This window comes from Homo sapiens, chromosome 4, assembly GCF_000001405.40.
Source record: "Homo sapiens chromosome 4, GRCh38.p14 Primary Assembly".
Lineage (NCBI taxonomy): Eukaryota > Metazoa > Chordata > Mammalia > Primates > Hominidae > Homo > Homo sapiens.
This window is the reverse complement of record NC_000004.12, coordinates 83,406,795-83,425,318: the sequence shown is the minus strand read 5'-3', so window position 1 is coordinate 83,425,318 and position 18,524 is coordinate 83,406,795. Positions and strand designations below refer to the sequence as shown.

Sequence of the window (18,524 nt, the reverse complement as noted above, 5' to 3'; positions counted from 1 at the left end):
CCTTCCATTTTCCCCCACACCTTTTTTTTTTTTTTTTTTGAGGTGCAGTCTCACTCTGTCGCCCAGGCTGGAATGCAGTGGCATGATCTTGGGTCACTGACACCTCCACCTTCCAGGTTCAAGCAATTCTCCTGCCTCAGCCTCCTGAGTCACTGGGATTACAGGCGCCTGCCACCACGCCTAGCTAATTTTTGTATTTTTAGGAGAGACAGGGTTTCACCATGTTGGCCAGGCTGGTCTCAAACTCCTGACCTCAGGTGATCCACCCGCCTCGTTCTCCCAAAGCATTGGGATTACAGGTGGCTCTCAGGTTGGGAGCCACCACACCCAACCTCCTCTATACCTTTTAAATTTACATAGACAGTACAGATTTCATTTTGTAAAATGGAAGATGATGTTTACATACACTTAAATTGATGGTGCAGTGTCCCATGCATCACTGTGTCATAAAATCAAAAATATTGGGCCCGGCACAGTGGCTCATGCCTGTAATCCCAGCACTTTGGGAGGCCGAGGTGGGCGACCATGAGGTCAGGAGTTCAAGACCAGCCTGACCAACATGGTGAAACCCTATCTCCACTAAAAATACAAAAATTAGCTATGTGTGGTGGTGGGCACCTGTAATCCCAGCTACTCAGGAGGCTGAGGCAGGAGACTCACGTGATCTGGGAGGCAGAGGTTGCAGTAAGCTGAGATCACACCACTGCACTCCAGCTTGGGTGACAGAGCAAGACTCTGTCTCAAAAAAAAATTCCATGAGCCCAGCACAGTGGCACACACCTGTACTCCTAGCTTCTCAGGAAGCTGAGGCAAAGGATTTGCTTGTACTCAGGAGTTTCAGGATAGCATGGGCAACATAGTGAGACCCTGTCTCAAAAATAAAAATAAAAGTATCTGTAGTACTTAAGCATTCATGTTATCACAATTTTTAGATTGGGTCTTTTACTTTGGAAATGGCTATGCTGTTTAGACCTTCAAAATGCTGAATAAAAATATTTCTTAAAACAAACCTTTTATATCAAACTCTGAAATGTAAAATAAAAACAATATCATTAATTTGGAACTAATTATCAAATAATAATAAACATGCAAAAATCTTATTAGAATAATATATCTTTTTAAGCTTGAATCCAGAATTTATTTTTGTTACATTTAATGTAATATAGTCAACAAATATTTGCCAAATTGATACATATTTAAAATAGTATGGACATGAACTTATCTTAATTACAAATGGATTAATTACTAGTTTAATGTTTTGGAGGTATAATTTTTTAAAACTCTGGAGAACATATTTAAATACTTAAAATCTAATTGATTTCTCCACATTGAAAAAGAGGCCCCCCACCTGACCTTTTTTGAACATTCTTGATTTCTTGCAAAAGATTTTTTTTTTTTTTGATACAGAGTCTCGCTCTTGTCGCCCAGGCTCCAGGCTGCAGTGCAATGGCACGATCTCAGCTCACTGCAACCTCCGCCTCCCAAGTTCAAGTGATTTTCCTGCCTTAGCCTCCCAAGTAGCTGGGATTGCAGGTGCCCGCCATCATATACAGCTAATTTTTGTATTTTTAGTAGAGATGGAGTTTCACCATGTTGGCCAGGCTGATCTTAAACTCCTGACCTCAGGTGATACGCCTACCTCAACCTCCAAAAGTGCTGGGATTACAAGCGTGAGCCACCGTGCCCTGCCACAAAAGATCTTGACATTGGCATAAAGCATTGTATTTTGCCATATAATAATTATATCATTTTTCTTGGCTTAGGAAATACATTCTAAGAAAAAACCTACATTGACTCAATTTATAGTTAGTACTGAAGATGCACTAAAATTGGGAAATTAAATAGCTCTCTTTTCCTACTTGATGTTCAGCTGTCATACTTTTTCAGCTTAATGCTTTTAAAAAAGTGATCCAGTATCAACATGCAGAATATGTAACTCATACATCCTTCAATTTGTCACCGTAAGTTCTCATTTCATTCTTTTACTATGGTGGAGGATATAATTTTATATTTTATTTTATTTTTTATTATTTTACAGTTTTTTTTAAAATAGAGACAGGTTTTCACCATGTTGCCCAAGCTGGTCTTGAACTCCTGAACTTAAGAGATCCTCCTGCCTCAGCCTTCCAAAGTGCTGGGATTACAGGTGTGAGCTACCACTCCCAACCTCTATTTTATTTTTTATACCTACTTTTTCTTTTTTAAGTTCATCTTTTTGCCCTCAATTTTAAGAATTGATTAGTTTCTAAGCTAGCTATGAAATCCTTTATGCACAAATGTGGTCATCAGGCACCACAGGCCAAAGCAGGTATACAGAATCGAAATCATCAACTACAGGAAGCATTTTTCAATCTCTTTCAGGTGTTTTAGCTTGGACCATGTGGAAATCATAGGATCTAATATTTACTCTTAGTTTATAATATAGACAAGCTTATTAACATATTTATCTAAAGTACATTTGTCTAATTTATAATAATAATCACATACGTACACAATTTACAAATACCAACTAACTGTAAAAGTCTCTCTCACCAATTCCTTCCTTTCCTGTATTCATTTTCTACAACCGCCATAACAAATTACCACAAATGGGTGGCTTAAAACAACAGAAATTTATTCTCCCACAGTTCAGGAGACCAAAAGTCCAAAATCAAGGTATTAGCAATGTTGATTCCTTCAGGAGCCTCTGAGGAAAAAGCCATCCGTGCCTCTTTCCTAGCTTCTGATGGTTACTGGCAGTCCTTGGTGTTCCTTGGCTTATAGATGCATCCCTCCAATCTCAGCCTCCATCTTCACATTGCTGCCTTCTCTGTGTCTCTCTGTGTCTTCTCCTCTTATAAGGACACTAATCATTGAATTTAGAGCCTACTGTAAATCCAGGGTGATTTCACCTAGAGATCCTTAACTGATTGTATCTGCAAATATCTTGTTTCCAAGTAAGATCACATTCACAGGTACCAGGGGTTAGGATTTGTACATTTCTTTTTGTGGAGTGATGGAGAGGGGGTACAATTCCTTCCCTGTAGAAGGAAGTTTAATTTAGATTGGAAATAATTTGGTTTATCTTTTAACTTTTATTTATTTTTATTTTTATTTTTTTGAGACAGGGTCTCACTCTGTCTCCCAGGCTGAGTGCAGTGGTGCTATCTCGGCTCCCTGCAACCTCTGTCTCCTGGGCTCAAGTGATCCCTCAGCCTCCCAAGTAGCCAGGACTACAGGTGCGCGCCACCACACCCGGCCACGTTTTTTGTTTGTTTTTTTGTGGAGACGGAGTTTTGCCACGTTGTCCAGGCTGATCTCAAACTCCTGGGCTCTTGTGATCCATCTGCCACAGCCTCCCAAAGTGCTGGGATTACAGGCATGAGCCACTCTGCCTGGCCTTATCTTTTTATTGTAGTTGGAAAAATGATAATAAATTTTAATTAATCTGAAGTACATCTGTTAGAAATTAGTTTTGTTTCTATGGAATTATTCTATCCTTGCTATTCTGTAATACAACTTCAGTTTTCCTTTTGTCCAATTTTAATAACATACATTTTTAGCAGGTCTAGTAAACGAATTTATTTGATTGTGTCTTTCTAGAAGGTGGACAAGAACGTTGTCAACAGGCTATATCTGTCTTTTGTTCTTTATACCTTGCTCAAAGAGACCAACATTTGGACTGTATCTGAAAAATTTAATATGCCTCGAGGATATATACAAAATCTTCTCACTGGAACTGCCTCATTCTCATCTTGTGTGTTACATTTCTGTGAGGTAATTTCATTGAATATATGATATGTACTTTGTGCATCTTCTGGTTTTAACTGTTACTAAACTAATAAGCCAGTTAGTCAGTATGTCAGCATTTTCTCCTTGTTGACATATTCTGTTATTACAGAGCACTAAAAAACTATTTAAAATGTACGTTTGTTTTTATCTGTTTATGAAACTACTATTATGTACTTATGGTAACAATACAAAAATTCCTGAGTCAACTAAAACACATAATGAAAAGTGTCTTTTTGACCCAACTCTTAAAGCCACCATTAATAGTTTCAGGTATTCAGAATTAACTGTTAAAAACAACCTATTGATGTAGATTCCATGTGAATGTCTTTCACCTGAGTAATAAAAATGTCAGGTGTTTGGTTAGAAAGTTACCTATATCCAACAGCTACCATGTGACTATTTAGTACCATATTCTCTTTTTAAAAAAATTTAATTTTGACTGGATGCCATGGCTCCCGCCTGTAATCCTAGCACTTTGGGAGGCTGAGGCAGGTGGATCACTTGAGCCCAGGAGTTCGAGATCAGCTGCTTGAGCAATGTGGGAAAACTCCATCTCTACAAAAAATAAGAAAAATTAGCCAGGCGTGGTGGCACACGCCTGTGGTCCCAGCTACTTGGGTCTCACTCTGACGCCCAGGCTGGAGTGTAGTGGTGTAATCCAGGCTCACTGCAGCTTTGACCTCCAGAGCTCAGGCAGTCCTTCTGCCTCAGCCTCCTGAGTAGCTGGGATCACAGACATGTGCCACCACACCTGGCTAATTTTTTTTGTTTTTTTGAGATGGAGTCTCAGGCTGGAGTACAGTGGCGCAATCTTAGCTAACTGCAACCCCCGCCTCCCGAGTTCATGCAATTCTCCTGCCTCAACCTCTAGAGTAGCTGGGATTATAGTCACACAACACCACTCCCAGTTAACTTATGTATTTTTAGTAGAGATAGGGTTTCACCATATTGGCCAGGCTGATCTCGAACTCCGGACCTCAAGTGATCCACCTGCCTGGGCTTCGCAAAGTGTTGGGATTACAGGCATGAGCCACAGCGCCCAACCAATTTTTTAAATTTTTTTTGTGCAAAGGGTGGGCGGGGGTGGGGGGTCTCACTATGATGCCCAGCCTGGTCTTGAACTTCAGGCTGAAGCGATCCTCCAGGTTGCCCTTCCAAAGTGCTGGGATTACAGGCATGAGCCGCCACGCCTGGCCCATATTCTCTTGATTGCCACTGTAATTTAGTATATTTGCTTCCAGTGTCAGGCAGCTATTTAAAGCTTTTACATCAAATGTGTATTTTATAGAACAATTTAAGAAGGAAACCTTATACTGGTCATATGCATTTGTGATGGATTTAAGACTTTATTAAAATAAGCTTTCAGAATTCCTTTAAATAGCACAATAAAGCTTACCAGGCTTTTACATCCAGATACTTTTTTTATGTGTTTATAATATAAGCCATTTTTGCTGCATTTAGATTTCTTCTTATTGGGTGGCATAATAATCCTTTCCATATTTGTTTCCAAGTCAATTTTCTAAAACTTTTTTCCCATGAATTGTTTTCTAAATTTAAAATTTACTTCATTTTCCCTTTCTTAAACCTTCATATTCTGTATATGTATATGGCAATTAATTCTATCATATGTGCTAATGAAAGGAGTAAATAATTCAAAAATACTTGGCTTTCAATTGAATGATAATTATTTTAACAAATTTAGCTTTCTAAATATCTTTTACTTGTGCTGATTTTTAAATGTTGGTTTATACCCCCTGAGCACATGCTAGTTAAACAGAAGACAAAAATTATGGGTAATAAGAAGAAGCTAGCCTTTAAAATGTATTTTCTTAAGTCTTCTATATTTGTTGTTTTGTATATTTAAAGATGCTTTCCCTAATATTTTTTCCCTTTGTTTTCATTGCGACTATGAGGACTTGAGCCTTATAGAATTGTTTAAGTAAAAAACTCTATGAAGCATCAAGAAAAACAGCAATAATTTGATGACTAATCCTAAGAAAAATCTAGCTGACAATTTGTACTCTAATTAATTTACTTCATTTATATATATCATAATTATATAATTACATATAATATAAATATATAATTATATGATATATATTACATGTATATAATTTTTCAAATTATTATCAATAGAGGCAGGGATCTTGCTGTGTTGCCCAGGCTGGCCTCAAACTCCTGGACTCAAGCAGTCCTCCCACCTTGGCCTCCCAGAGTGCTGGGATTACAGGCATGAGCCACCACACCTGGTCTACTTTCAATATTTCAAGGCAGGGGTGTTCAATCTTTTGGCTTCCCTGGGCCACATTGGAAGAAGAATCGTCTTGAGCCACACATAAAATACACTAACAATAGCTTATGAGCTAGAAAAAAAAAAAAAAAAAAATCTCATGGTGTTGTAAGAAAGTTTACCAATTTGTTTTGGGTGACATTCAAAGCCATCCTGGGCCGCATGTGGCCTGTGGGCCACAGGTTGGACAAGCTTGTTTTAAGGTATTTTTTATTTTAAAAAGTTATAAATGGTATGAAATGGTACATTAATTGTGTTAGTTAAGATGCTTTTAACTACAAGTTACAGAAAAACCCATCAAGGTTTAAACAATAAGAAAAAATAATTATTTTATATAACAGGCATGCCAGAACTAAGGCAGCTTCAGGATTGATTGATTCAATAGTTCTGTTCAAGGTTTTCTTCTTTTTACTCTGCCATCTTCATTACGTTGATTTCTTTCTTAGTAGTCACAAGATGGCTAGCTAATGCTGTTCCATTCATCATGTACATTCACAGTGATATCCAAAGGCTAGAAAGGGAACTTTAAAATAAAATAAACTACTATAATAGAATATTGCAAATATCTATGACAAAATATTATATTGAATTCCCATTTACCCTTCTAGCTTTAACAGTTATTGACTCATGGCTTCCAGTATTTTTATTATTGTATTGTTGCATTGAACATCATGTTACATTTGAATATTTCCATATTTAATATTCATCTTCCAGATAAATTCCAGATGTAGGAATTGTTTTTAGTCACTTGGGAAAGAAAAACTATGCATTTTCTTCCAGGTATTTTGATTAAAATGACCAGAACTCTTTTTATTGACTTATTTTTCAATTTTCAATCTTTTCCTCATCCTAAAACCAGTTCCTCAAATTCCTCAGGGTCCTCCCCATGTTTCTTCACATCTGTTTTGCTTAGAATCATCTTTCATCTCTGGCTTAACTCAAGTTCCAGAACTTATGTAAGGAACATTCTCTCTGAGCCCCCTATCACACAAACCAAACTTTGAAATAACTTACAAAATTTAAATTTTATATATTTCTTTGTGTTCTACAGGAGCTTGAGGAGTTTTGGGTTTACAGAGCCCTTTTGGTAGAACTTACCAAGAAGCTGACTTACTGTGTAAAGGCAGAATTAATCCCTCTCATGGAAGTTACTGGAGTTTTAGAGGTCAGTAGCTTGTTGGTTTCCCAATTGAAATTATGTTGAATTAATACAGAAGCCAGGTTTTATTATTTTCTGAAGTCTTAATACAGAGGAAGTGATAGCAAGAGCCTTAATTGCTCATTTGTCATGGGAATCTTTTATTTAAAACAAATAGCTGTTATGGCCTTCCAGAAATCCGCTGTTACTAGATGGCATACCTGATGAAAAATCTCAGTTGTGAAAAAAAAAACATAACAGGAAGGGTGGGAGTGACTGTCTCCAAGTATGTTGTGCTACCGGTTGTCCTTAACACTTCTTCCTTCCTCCACTCCTTTGAAGAATTACCTTCTGTCAGTTTGGACTCAGTGCTTGTTTAAGATAATGGTGATTCAGTGGCAGAAAGGGTCATTTGTATTTTTTCTAAGAGAGTAAGAAGAAAGGGTTCGCAACTGGTTTTCCAGCTTTCTATTTTCAGCCAACCCTCAACTTCAGTTTATTCTCTGTTATTCAGTTCTTGAGTCAGAGGAGTTCTGCTTAGGACACACGCACACACACAGAGAGAGACACCAGTGGTCCCCTGAGTAGATGGTGAGAACACTGAAAGATATTGGACTTGGCCTGATGATGTGGCTCATGCTGCAATCACAGCACTTTGGGAGGCCAAGGTGGGTGGATCAATTGAGGTCAGGAGTTCAAAACCAACCTGGCCCACATGGTGAAACCCCATCTTTACTAAAAATACAAAAATTAGCCAAGTATGGTGTCGTGCGCCTGTAATCCCAGCTACTTGGGAGGCTGAGGCAAGAAAATTTTGTGAACGTGAGTGGTGCAGGTTGCCATAAGCCAAGATCGCACCATTGCACTCCAGCCTGGGCAACAGAGCAAGACTCTTTCTCAAAAAAAAAAAAAAGAAAAGAAAAGAAAAAGAAGAAAGAAAGAAAGATACTGGACTAGAACATTTTACTTGAGGATATGAGATGATGCCACCAACCTAAGTGGGTTTCTTTTCTTGATTGCAGCACACATCAGTTGACTCAAGCTGCATAGAACTATAGTTACCTTGTAGTCAGTTTGGAACCACCCAAATGCATTTTTAAAAATTCCTCAGTATTCTCATGTCTTGTCTCTTCATATTTACTTTATTTTATCCCAGTCTCTTACATGCAGTTTTTGTTCTTTTCAGTAAAGTGCTTAATTTTCTTTTTTCTAATCCCAAACTATTATCCTACTGATTTTTGTAACACTTTTCAGGGTCGAGCAAAACAGTTATACAGTGCAGGTTACAAAAGTCTAATGCACTTAGCTAATGCAAATCCTGAAGTGCTCGTAAGGACAATTGATCATTTATCAAGACGCCAAGCCAAGCAAATTGTTTCATCAGCAAAGGTAAGCAAACAAACCATTTTTTAACCTTAATAATCTTGCGTAGTGTTATTTCCTTGTATTATAGACATCAGAACAAAAACATTTCACATTGCATAACTGTTTATTTCTATAGATACAAAAGTACATACTCTTATTTGTGAGTAAAAATAATGCATCTGTTGTGACACAAGCCTTGCAAAACAAAAAAAGGACCTGCTAAAAAATAAAGAAAATTTCAGTGGTGGCTCATGCCTGTAATCCCAGCTCTTTGGAAGGTCAAGATGGGGAGGATGGCTTGAAATCAGGAGTTTGAGACCAGCCTGGGCAACATAATGAGACTCTGTTTCTGCAAAAAAATTTAAAAACTAACTGGGTGTGGTGGTTTGTGCTGTAGTTCTAGCTACTCCGGAGACTGAGGCAAGAGGATCGCTTGAGCCCAGGAGTTCAAGGCTGCACTGAGCTAGGATGACAGATTGAGACCCTGTCCCCCCGCCCCAAAAAAAATGCCAGGCATGGTGCCTCATGCCTGTAATCCCAGCACTTTGGGAGGCCGAGGCAGGTGGATTACCTGAGGTCAGGAGTTCGAGACCAGCCTGGCCAACATGGTGAAACCCCATCTCCACTAAAAATACAAAAATTTAGCCAGACTTGGTGGCACACGCCTATAATCCCAGCTACTCGGGAGGCTGAGGCAGGAGAATTGCTTGAGCCCAGGAGACGGAGATGGCAGTGAGCCGAGATCATACCACTGCACTCCAGCCTGGCTGACAGAGCGAGATTCTGTCTCAAAAAAAAAAAAAAAAATGGCTGGGTTCGGTGGCTCACACCTATAATCCCAGCACTTTGGGAGGCCAAGGCAGGTGGATCACTTGAAGCCAGGAATTTGAGACCAGCCTGGCCAACATGGTAAAACCCTGTCTCTACTAAAAGTATAAAAATTAGCCAGGCGTGGTGGCCCACACCTGTAGGCCCACACCTGTAATCCCAGCTACTCAGGAAGCTGAGGCATGAGAATCACTTGAACCCAGGAGGTGGAGGTTGTAGTGAGCCAAGATTATGCCACTGCACTCCAACCTGGGTGACAGAGTGAGAGTCTGTCTTAAAAAAAAAAAAAAGACAATTTCAAGGGTTCATTGAAGTATAAAGAACCCTGGAAGTCACTGAGCTCTGTCTCCCAAAGTTCTCTTCACAGGAATCCTTTCCTCAGCATCCCAGCATCTGGTCTCTCCACCTTTGAGCACCAGCACTGACAAGGAGCCTGCATCATCAAAAATTAGGTTGTCTATTTTTGTACACTCTTAGTGTTACAAAAATTATCCTGATATACTGAGGCTAAATTTTGCCTTCTTAAAATTTCTACCATTGCATCAGAGTACTACCTCTGGAACTGGACTCTTTTTTTGTTTGTATGCTGTTTTTCACATATTCAAAAACAGCTCTTATTGCCCCCAAGGGTTTCTCTTTTCTGTTGCTTTTATCTGTATTAAATAATCAAGTTTTAGGCCATTCACTGTCCTAGTTACCCTTTGCTAGATGCAACCCAGTTTGCCATTGCCTTCTGCTCCCTGTGGGTAAAGCCATTCCACAGCAATTTGAGATTGTTTCCTTCTTGATCTCAACTGTGGTTCTAAGTCTGAAATTGCTTGGCTTCTTTGAAGCTTCATTGTTTTACTATTTTCATATATAAATCAGAATTAGCTTTCCATCATTTTTTAATGGTGCTCACATTGCTTACATTACCTTAATTGTTCTTTACAACAAACCTATGAGGTGGACAAAGTCAGTGTTACCCCCAATTTATAGATGAAACCACTAAGATTGACCTTGTCCCGTTAAATTAGGAGTTCTTGGGGTTGGTAGGGATGAAGTTATAGTCATTTCCTTTGCTATAGCACCTAAAAAAAAAAGGTTCATTAAACTTTCACACACTTGTTTCAGCATTTACTAGTGATGTTTGCCTAACTCCATTATTTCCATGATGCTTATCAAGAGGTGATTTTCTAACTTCATTATCCCTTCTGGATTTATTTACTGATGTTTTACTGTGAGGAAAAGCTTTTCCTTTATTTATTCATTTATCAGTATGTGCTCATAGGTTCAAACATATTCAATGGGTTATAACCCATTAATAACATTACTTATTTTGGTGCTCAAATGGCCTCAGATTTGGCCAGTGGAAGCCCCTGAAAACTGGTTTGTGTGGCTTTTTGACCTGTCATCATCATTCTTGAAGTATTTTCTTACTTTCTGGCTGTGTCTGTCAGCATCTAATCATTAGGAGGCAGAAACCACACAGTAATTTGAACAGGCGTCTAAGGGGTCAACAGAACTTTAAAGAATTCAGGAAGGAATACATTTGAGAGACGGTCCACCCCCACCCCACAGCACCCCTGTGGATGGGATCCGGACTTCATTGCCACTGGATGCTGGGAAGTTTGTTGTGGTGCTACAGCCAAGGCTAATAAGCAGAAACTGCCCACGGAGTGCTGACAAAACTGCAAGGAAGCTGCCTACAATGTACTGTTGAACTTGCCCAGAAGTCAGCTCTAGGGCCCATGGAACTAGGGCACTAGCTAGGACCACCCTAGCTGATGTATGTCTATGTATTTTTCTATACTTATGTGTAAATTACTGAAGGCCATGAGCTCATACTGATAACCCTAATTCTGATTTTTCCACGTACATACGCTACATAACAGAGTCTAACTCCAAAATTTAGTGGCTTAAAACAGCCATCTTATTTTGCTCATGTTTTTGTAGATTAGGAATTCTGGAGGGGTGCAGCTGGGTGCTTCTCACTTGGGTCTCAGGCAACTGTAGTCAGAAGTTGACTGGAGCTATAGTCATAAGGCCCAGCAGAGCTGGATGACCCAGGTGACTCACTCACATGACCAACAGCTGATAATTGGAGGCAACTGGGGCTTTTCAGCTTTTGACTGGAGCAACTACATATGGCCTTTCCATGTGGCTTCAGTCTTTATGGCATAGAAACTAGGTTTTGAGAGGGAATGTCCAGAAAATGAGCATTTTAAGATATCCAGGCAGAAAATGCAAGAAGTCTTCTGAGCCAACCTCAGAAGTTATACAGTGTCATTTCCGCTGCATACTGTTGGTTACTAGAAAACCGTTAAGACCTAGATTGAAAGGAAAGGGGATCAGACCACCTCTTCATGAGAAGAGTGTCAAATAATTTGTGGTCATCTTTAAAATCTGCCCTCTGGTCACAAATTGTTTCTGTTCCTCCCACATGCAAAATATATTAACCCCCAAAAGGCTTTTCCATTATAGTTTCTATTAGGAAAAACTCAAAGTCTTTTTTGTTGTTGTTGTTCCCCCACTCAACACTCAACAAACACAACACAGACAGAAGATTTCTGTGACCAAATGTGAGGGATTTCTCCCCAAAAAAACAAGCAATCATTTCTGTAGCAGACATCAGCTGGGTGTCCTGACACTATCTAGCTGGAGTCTGGGCTTCTAAAACTTCTTACCAATTCAAGTTGGGGTTCCCTCAACCTCTTCTCTGGGTTCAGTCAGCTCACGAAACTCAGGAAAACATGCGTATAATAAAGGATATCACAAAGATACAGATGAAGAGATTCATAGGTCAAGGTATGGGGGAAGTGGCACAGAGCTTTCATGCCCTCCCTGGGCACAGCACCCTCCATGTGTTCAGCTGTCTGGAAGCTCTGTGAATCCTGTACTCTTAGACCTCTTATGGAAACTTTATTGGGTTGGCATGATTGACAATCATGTAGAAATGTGACTGGACAGAAAGGGTATGATTTATTAATAATACTAACAGATTGAGTGGGGAAACCCAGCAAGACCCGTCTGTTCAGATTCTTCTGGCCTCTCTGTGCAGCATTCCTTTCTTCAGAGTATGGGGCAGGACACTCTGGGATGAGGGTCTTTTTACTTGTTTTTGGAGACAGGGTCTTGCTCTGTTGCCCAGGCTGGAGTGCAATGGCACAATCATAGATCACTGCAGCCTTCCCCTCCCAGGCTCAAGCAGTTCTCCCATCTCAGCCTCATGAGTAGCTAGGAATAGAGACAGGTGCCACGCCTGGCTAATGTTTTTAATTTTTAATAGAGACAAGGTTTTGCTATGTTGCCCAGGCTGGTCTTGAACTCCGGGCCTCAAGCAATCCTTCCATCTTGGCTTCCCAAAGTGTTGGGATTACAACATGAGCCACTGCACCCAGCCTGGAATGAGGGTTTTAAGACCCAATGATCAGATTAGAGTTCTGCCTTAGGCAGGCAAAAGGAGGGCAGAAGAAGGTCAGAGAGAGAAATTCTGTTTTCTGAGGTCTAAAGTGCCCCATCATTGTAAGAAGGGCTGTGGGAGTTATGAGCCAGGAACCGTGGATGAAGACCAATATATGTCTATCATAATATCACAGCATCAGACTCAGATCCAGTATTCTAAATCAAGTCCGAGTGTGAGTGATACACCTTCAGTACAGTTTCACAAGTTACAGTTCTTCTTAATCTGAAGACCAGTGAACTAAAGAGACACTACATAAAACAGTGAAACTAGAAATAGGATAACCATAGTATACTCTCATTCATAAAGAAGGAAAATGGGTAGTGCACAGCAGCAGTTCTGAAATCCAGCCAGTCATATGTGGCCAGTTCCTTAATTATGTCCCAGTTCTTCTCTCTGGGAATGGTTTTTCTTGGCTTTGGGTTCTCTCATTTGAGTCATTCTCCCTTTTCCATAAGCAATAAACCCATGTTTGCTGCTAGGTAGCTTTCTCAATGTGCTTCCTATATGTAGTTCAAGAATATTGAAGTTCAAGAGTTCAGGCTCAGGTGTAGTGGCTCACACCTGTAATCCCAGCACTTTGAGAGACCAGAGTGGGAGAATCACTTAAGGCCAGGAGTTTGAGGTCAGCCTGGGCAACATAGCAAGACCCTGTTCCTACAAAAGAAATTTTTTTTTTTAATTAGCCAGGCATGGTGATGTGTGCCTGTGGTACTCATGAGGCTGCAATGGGAGGATCATTTGAGCCTGGGAGATGAAGGCTGCAATCAGCTATGATCATGCCACTGCACTCCAACCTGGGCAACAAAGCGAGACCTTATCTCTATTTTATTTTTAATTTAATTAAATTAATTAATTTTATTTATTTATTTATTTATTTTGAGACAGGGTCTGACTCTGTCACCCAGGCTGGAGTGCAGTAGCATGATCTTGGCTTGCTGCAGCCTTAACCTCCCAGGCTCAAGCAATCCTCCTACTTCAGCCTCCCAAGTAACTGCGACCACAGGCGGGCACCACTATGCCTAACTAAATTACCTTTTTAAATTTATTTTTCACCATGCTGCCCAGGCTGGTCTCCAACTCCTGAGCTCAAGTGATCCACCCTCCTCAGCCTCCCAAAATGCTGGGATTACGAGTGAGCCACCATGCCTGGGGGAGACCCTATCTCTAAATTTAAAAAAAAAAAAGTTCAAAGGCACTTGATGTTTTGTATTGTCTGTCTCTTTTTATTCAATCTAGTATAATATCTTTTAAAACACTGCAGTTTCTTATTTGTCTATTTATAATCTCTATGTTGCTTGACTTTCTTTTTTTTTTTTTTTTTTTTGAGACAAGGTCTCCCTCTCACTCCAACTGGAATGCAGTGGCACAATCATGCCTCACTGCAACCTTAGCCTCCCAAGCTCAGGTGATCCTCCCACTTCAGCCTCCCAAGTAGCTGGGACCACAGGCATGCACCACCACACCCAGCTAATTTATGTAATTTTTTTTTTTTTTTTAGAGATGGGGTTTCTCCATGTTGCCCGGTTTGGTCTCGAACTCCTGGGCTCAAGCAATCTGCCCACCTTGGCCTCCCAAAGTGCTGGGGTTACAAGTGTGAGCCACCTTGCCTATCCTAGCTTGGCTTTCTTACAGTGTGGATGCTAGGATCTGAGGGGGAGGATTCACATGACCTTGGAATGATCTCATTTCAAGACCCCAAGGCCTTTCTTAAACTGAGACCTGTCATGTGGCATCATTTCTTCTGCATTCTATTAGTTATAAGTGAATCACAAAGGCTAGCACAGATTCAAGAGGAGAATTAGATCCCGTCTCTCAATGAAGGTGTCAAAGAATTTCCAATCATCTTTAATTTGCCACACTAATCCCATACAGGACTTGCTATATAGTCTTCCTCTTTTTCATATTTGTACTTCCTTTCTCCAATAATGAGAAACCTCATCCCTGTGTTTATTAATATATTTCTGTTTTCCTCAATCTTAGAATGCACTGAAAGTAACTGCAGAATTGTTAAATTATACCACTCCAAAAAAAACAAACATTCAGTATTTATTTACAGCACTTTTTGTCTTCAGTCTGAGAGTATATAATTAAAATAATGTGTTAAAATGTTACTTGGTTTGGGGTTTAAAAAAATCTGCTTCAGTGTGGCTGTTATACATTTGAAACACAAATTCTACTGGTATTCCATTTTATTTCCTCTCCTTCCCTCACAGATATTTTTTTAGGGGGAGTGGGGAGGAACTAGGTCTCTGTCACCCAGGCTAGAGTGCAGTAGCACCATCATAGCTCACTGCAGCCTTGAACTCCCAGGCTCAGGTGATCCCACCTTAGCCTCCTGAGTGGCTGGGACTATAGGTATGGGCCACCATTCCTGGCTAATTTTTTGTTGTTGTTGTAGAGGCTTGGTCTCACTGCATTGCCCAGGCTGGTCTCTAACTTCTGGCCTCAAGCAATCCTCCTGCCTCAACCTCCCAAAGTGCTGGGATTATAGGTCTGAGCCACCATGCCCGGCCTATCTCGTTTTTATTCTCTTTATTGTTTTCCTGCTTTTTAAATTTTTTCAGTGGCCCTAATTAGGTTTTTTATTTAAATCTGTTTTTCTATGGACACCCAGTTATTTAGTTATAGTTATTAGTTTTTATTTCTAATATGATTTTGCCTTTTTCTTTTATTTCATTCCTGAGCTCAGTCAACTTTTGTATCATTTCTTCCAGTTTTTGTCCATGTCGGTTCTTAGTTTTTTAACTTCTTATTTAGAGAGCATTTCTACTCCTCCTCATATCTCCAGATTTTTATTTGAGAATATTTAATTTTGTTTGGAGTGTTGTGTTACAGTTTTTCTGCTTCATGGTTTGCTTTCAGGAAGGGAAATTTTTATGAGATGAAGAGTTTGGGTTCTTATTGGTTTTCTTTTCTCTTTTTTTTTTTGAGACAGAGTATCGCTCTCTTGCCCAGGCTGGAGTGCAGTGGTGCAATCTTGGCTCACTGCAAGCTCCGCCTCCCAGGTTCACGCCATTCTCCTGCCTCAGCCTCCTAAGTAGCTCGGACTACAGGCGCCGGCCACCTTGCCTGGCTAAATTTTTTTTTGTATTTTTAGTAGAGATGGGGTTTCACTGTGTTAGCCAGGATGGTCTCGATCTCCTGACCTCATGGTCTGCCCACCTTGGCCTCTCAAAGTGCTGGGATTACAGGCATGAGCTACCATGCCCAGCCTTGTTTTCTTTTTATATAGTAGTTTTGTATAGATGAGAACTGCTTGTGCCTCTGCATATCTTGGACAACACAGTCATTTGGAATGATTTATGAGATCCCAGTTCAAGAGTGTTCTCTTCTGTCAGAGTAGCAAAGTATTTTTCTTTAATGGATGACTTGGGGTGGGAGAGGAATGCAAGTTTGTTTGTTTGTTTGTTTAATTTCCTTTTGCCCTACAAGATTGTAAATTTTGTCCTTTTTTCCTCTTCCTCTCATGGCTGAGCTTCCAAAAGGCACCTCCCTTTTCACCCATTCTCTCCCCTAAAAGCATTGCCTTTCGAAGACTGCCTCCTAGAGTCCCACATGCATTTTAAATATCTTCCTATAAACAATGCTTTAATCAACCAACATTCTTTTTTCAGTATTTTTATATTTGGGTAGGCTTTTTCTCTCTGGAGGTGATCTTATTTCATTTTAGACCCTCTATTTCCCTCTTATCTTGTTCATGTGTTTTTTTTTTCTCAACCCCATCTGGATCTCTGCAAACACTTGGGTGGGAGCTCAAGAAACTGGTTTTGGCTGAGTGTAGTGGCTCACACTATAATCCCAGCACTTTGGGAGGCCAAGGCAGGAGGATCGTTTGAGCCCAAGAGTTTGAGAACAGCCTGGACAACATAGGGAGATCCAGTCTCTACAAAAAAAGCTTTTTAAATTTTTTCTAATTAAAAAAAAAAAAAGAGGCTGGGCATGGTGGCTCACACCTGTAATCCCAGCACTTTGGGAGGCTGAGGCAGGCAGATGATGAGGTCAAGCAGTGGAGACCATCCTGGCCAACATGGTGAAACCCCATCTCTACTAAAAATACAAAAATTAGCTGGGTGTGGTGGTGCATGCCTGTAGTCCCAGCTACTCAGAAGGCTGAGGCCTTCTGAATCACTTGAACCTGGGAGGCGGAGGTTGCAGTGAGCTGAGATCACGCCACCGTGCTCCAGCCAGGCGACAGAACAAGACTCCGTCTAAAAAAGAAAAAAAGGCGGGTGGGGGGGAGCGGAATTTATTCTTCCACAAATTGGTGGGCTTTTTTAAACAAGTAATTTGAGGTTCTTGATATTCTCTGTATTATAGTAATACTAACACAAGGGTTTTGTGTAGTTTACTTATTATTCTTATTGATCTATATAGCTTATTATTTGGTAAAAATTCATTGACATCTTTCATATGCCATGTTTGGAAATACTTTTTTTGCTCATTATGTTGCTTTTGAAATTAACAGTTTTAAGTTTAGGAACTTGAATAAAACTTTTATTTGAAATACTGGTAGCTTTTTAAAGCATACTAAATTTTGAGGAATAATAAAATGCATATATATAAAGGATAACATTTTTCAGGAGCTAATTAAATTTTTGCAAAATTGTCTTAGATTTTATAGATTAAAAGTTAATTTTTAAGTGGCTGAGTCTTCAATAAAACAAATCTTTGGGAGAATTAAAGCTCCTTTATTTTTGGTATACTAAAAGGCAGTGATCAGCTAAAATGGTTTTAACTAAATGCCTCATCTTCATTGACTATAATCGTTTATTCTTAAGTGGCCATTTTTCAATCTCATTATAGTTTTAATGTCTAGATTTCTGATGTGTAAGGATTCAGGTGTTCAATGGACAGTGGTAAAATTGTTGGCAATTCTCTAGCAATGCATATTTTGGCCTCACGTCTTAATTTTTTAATGTAGATGCTGTTGCATGAAAAAGCAGAAGCCCTGCAAGAAGAGGTAGAAGAGTTACTAAGATTGCCTTCTGATTTCCCTGGTGCTGTGGCTTCTTCCACTGACAAAGCATGAAGCTATCTGATGAGAATTTTCATATATGAATTATTTATTGTACATGTGTGTTATTAAAGATAACTTATACTTTATAAATGAAAAAATACATTTCAGTTATACATTAAGAACTACGAATAATGTTTGAATATACCTCTTCCCACTAACAATTCATTCTTTGGAATACTTACACATTATTTCTCTGCTAAACAGACTATAGTGTCCACCACAAAATGAAATTCAACTTCATCAACATTGTGCTCAACCTTTTTATCCAGATCTTTCATTATTCTCTTACCCATTTCTTTCATCAAATTGGACTATTTGAAATCCCCAGAATTTTTCTTAGGATTTCCAAACCCTCCATTTCCTAACTGCTTTATATTATTTCCAATGCATGAAAATTATCTTTAAAATGCACTAATACTTCAAGGATTAACTAAAAAATGCTAAAATACTGTCTCTTCTATGAAATTATTCCAGGTTCATCCTCACCCCTACCCCATATCTGGGTGCTCTTTCCCTCCTATAAGCATCATAGACCCCGCATTTATACCCAGGTCTTTTTGCTGCCGCTACTTTATAATCTGGATGTCCAAGTCCTGCATGTGTGTATGCGACCAGCACCCACACACTTCACTGCACGAAGTAGGAATCTCAGAGAAGAATGAATACTACC

The 18,524-nt window shown here is 39.5% G+C and overlaps 1 protein-coding gene across 4 annotated transcripts in view; it reads left to right on the top strand.

Moving 5' to 3' along the window:
• The window catches only part of HELQ (helicase, POLQ like), a 48,538-nt gene extending 30,565 nt beyond the window's left edge, over nucleotides 1-17,973 (top strand). For all 4 annotated transcript variants that reach the window (NM_001297755.2, NM_001297757.2, NM_133636.5 and 1 more), the window contains 4 exons: nucleotides 3,583-3,756; nucleotides 7,113-7,226; nucleotides 8,454-8,588; nucleotides 17,759-17,973. In NM_001297755.2, coding sequence (NP_001284684.2) covers nucleotides 3,583-3,756; nucleotides 7,113-7,226; nucleotides 8,454-8,588; nucleotides 17,759-17,866 — 531 coding nt within the window. In that variant the 3' untranslated portion in view covers nucleotides 17,867-17,973. The remainder of the gene's footprint in view (nucleotides 1-3,582; nucleotides 3,757-7,112; nucleotides 7,227-8,453; nucleotides 8,589-17,758) is intronic.
• Nucleotides 17,974-18,524: the final 551 nt, after the last annotated feature.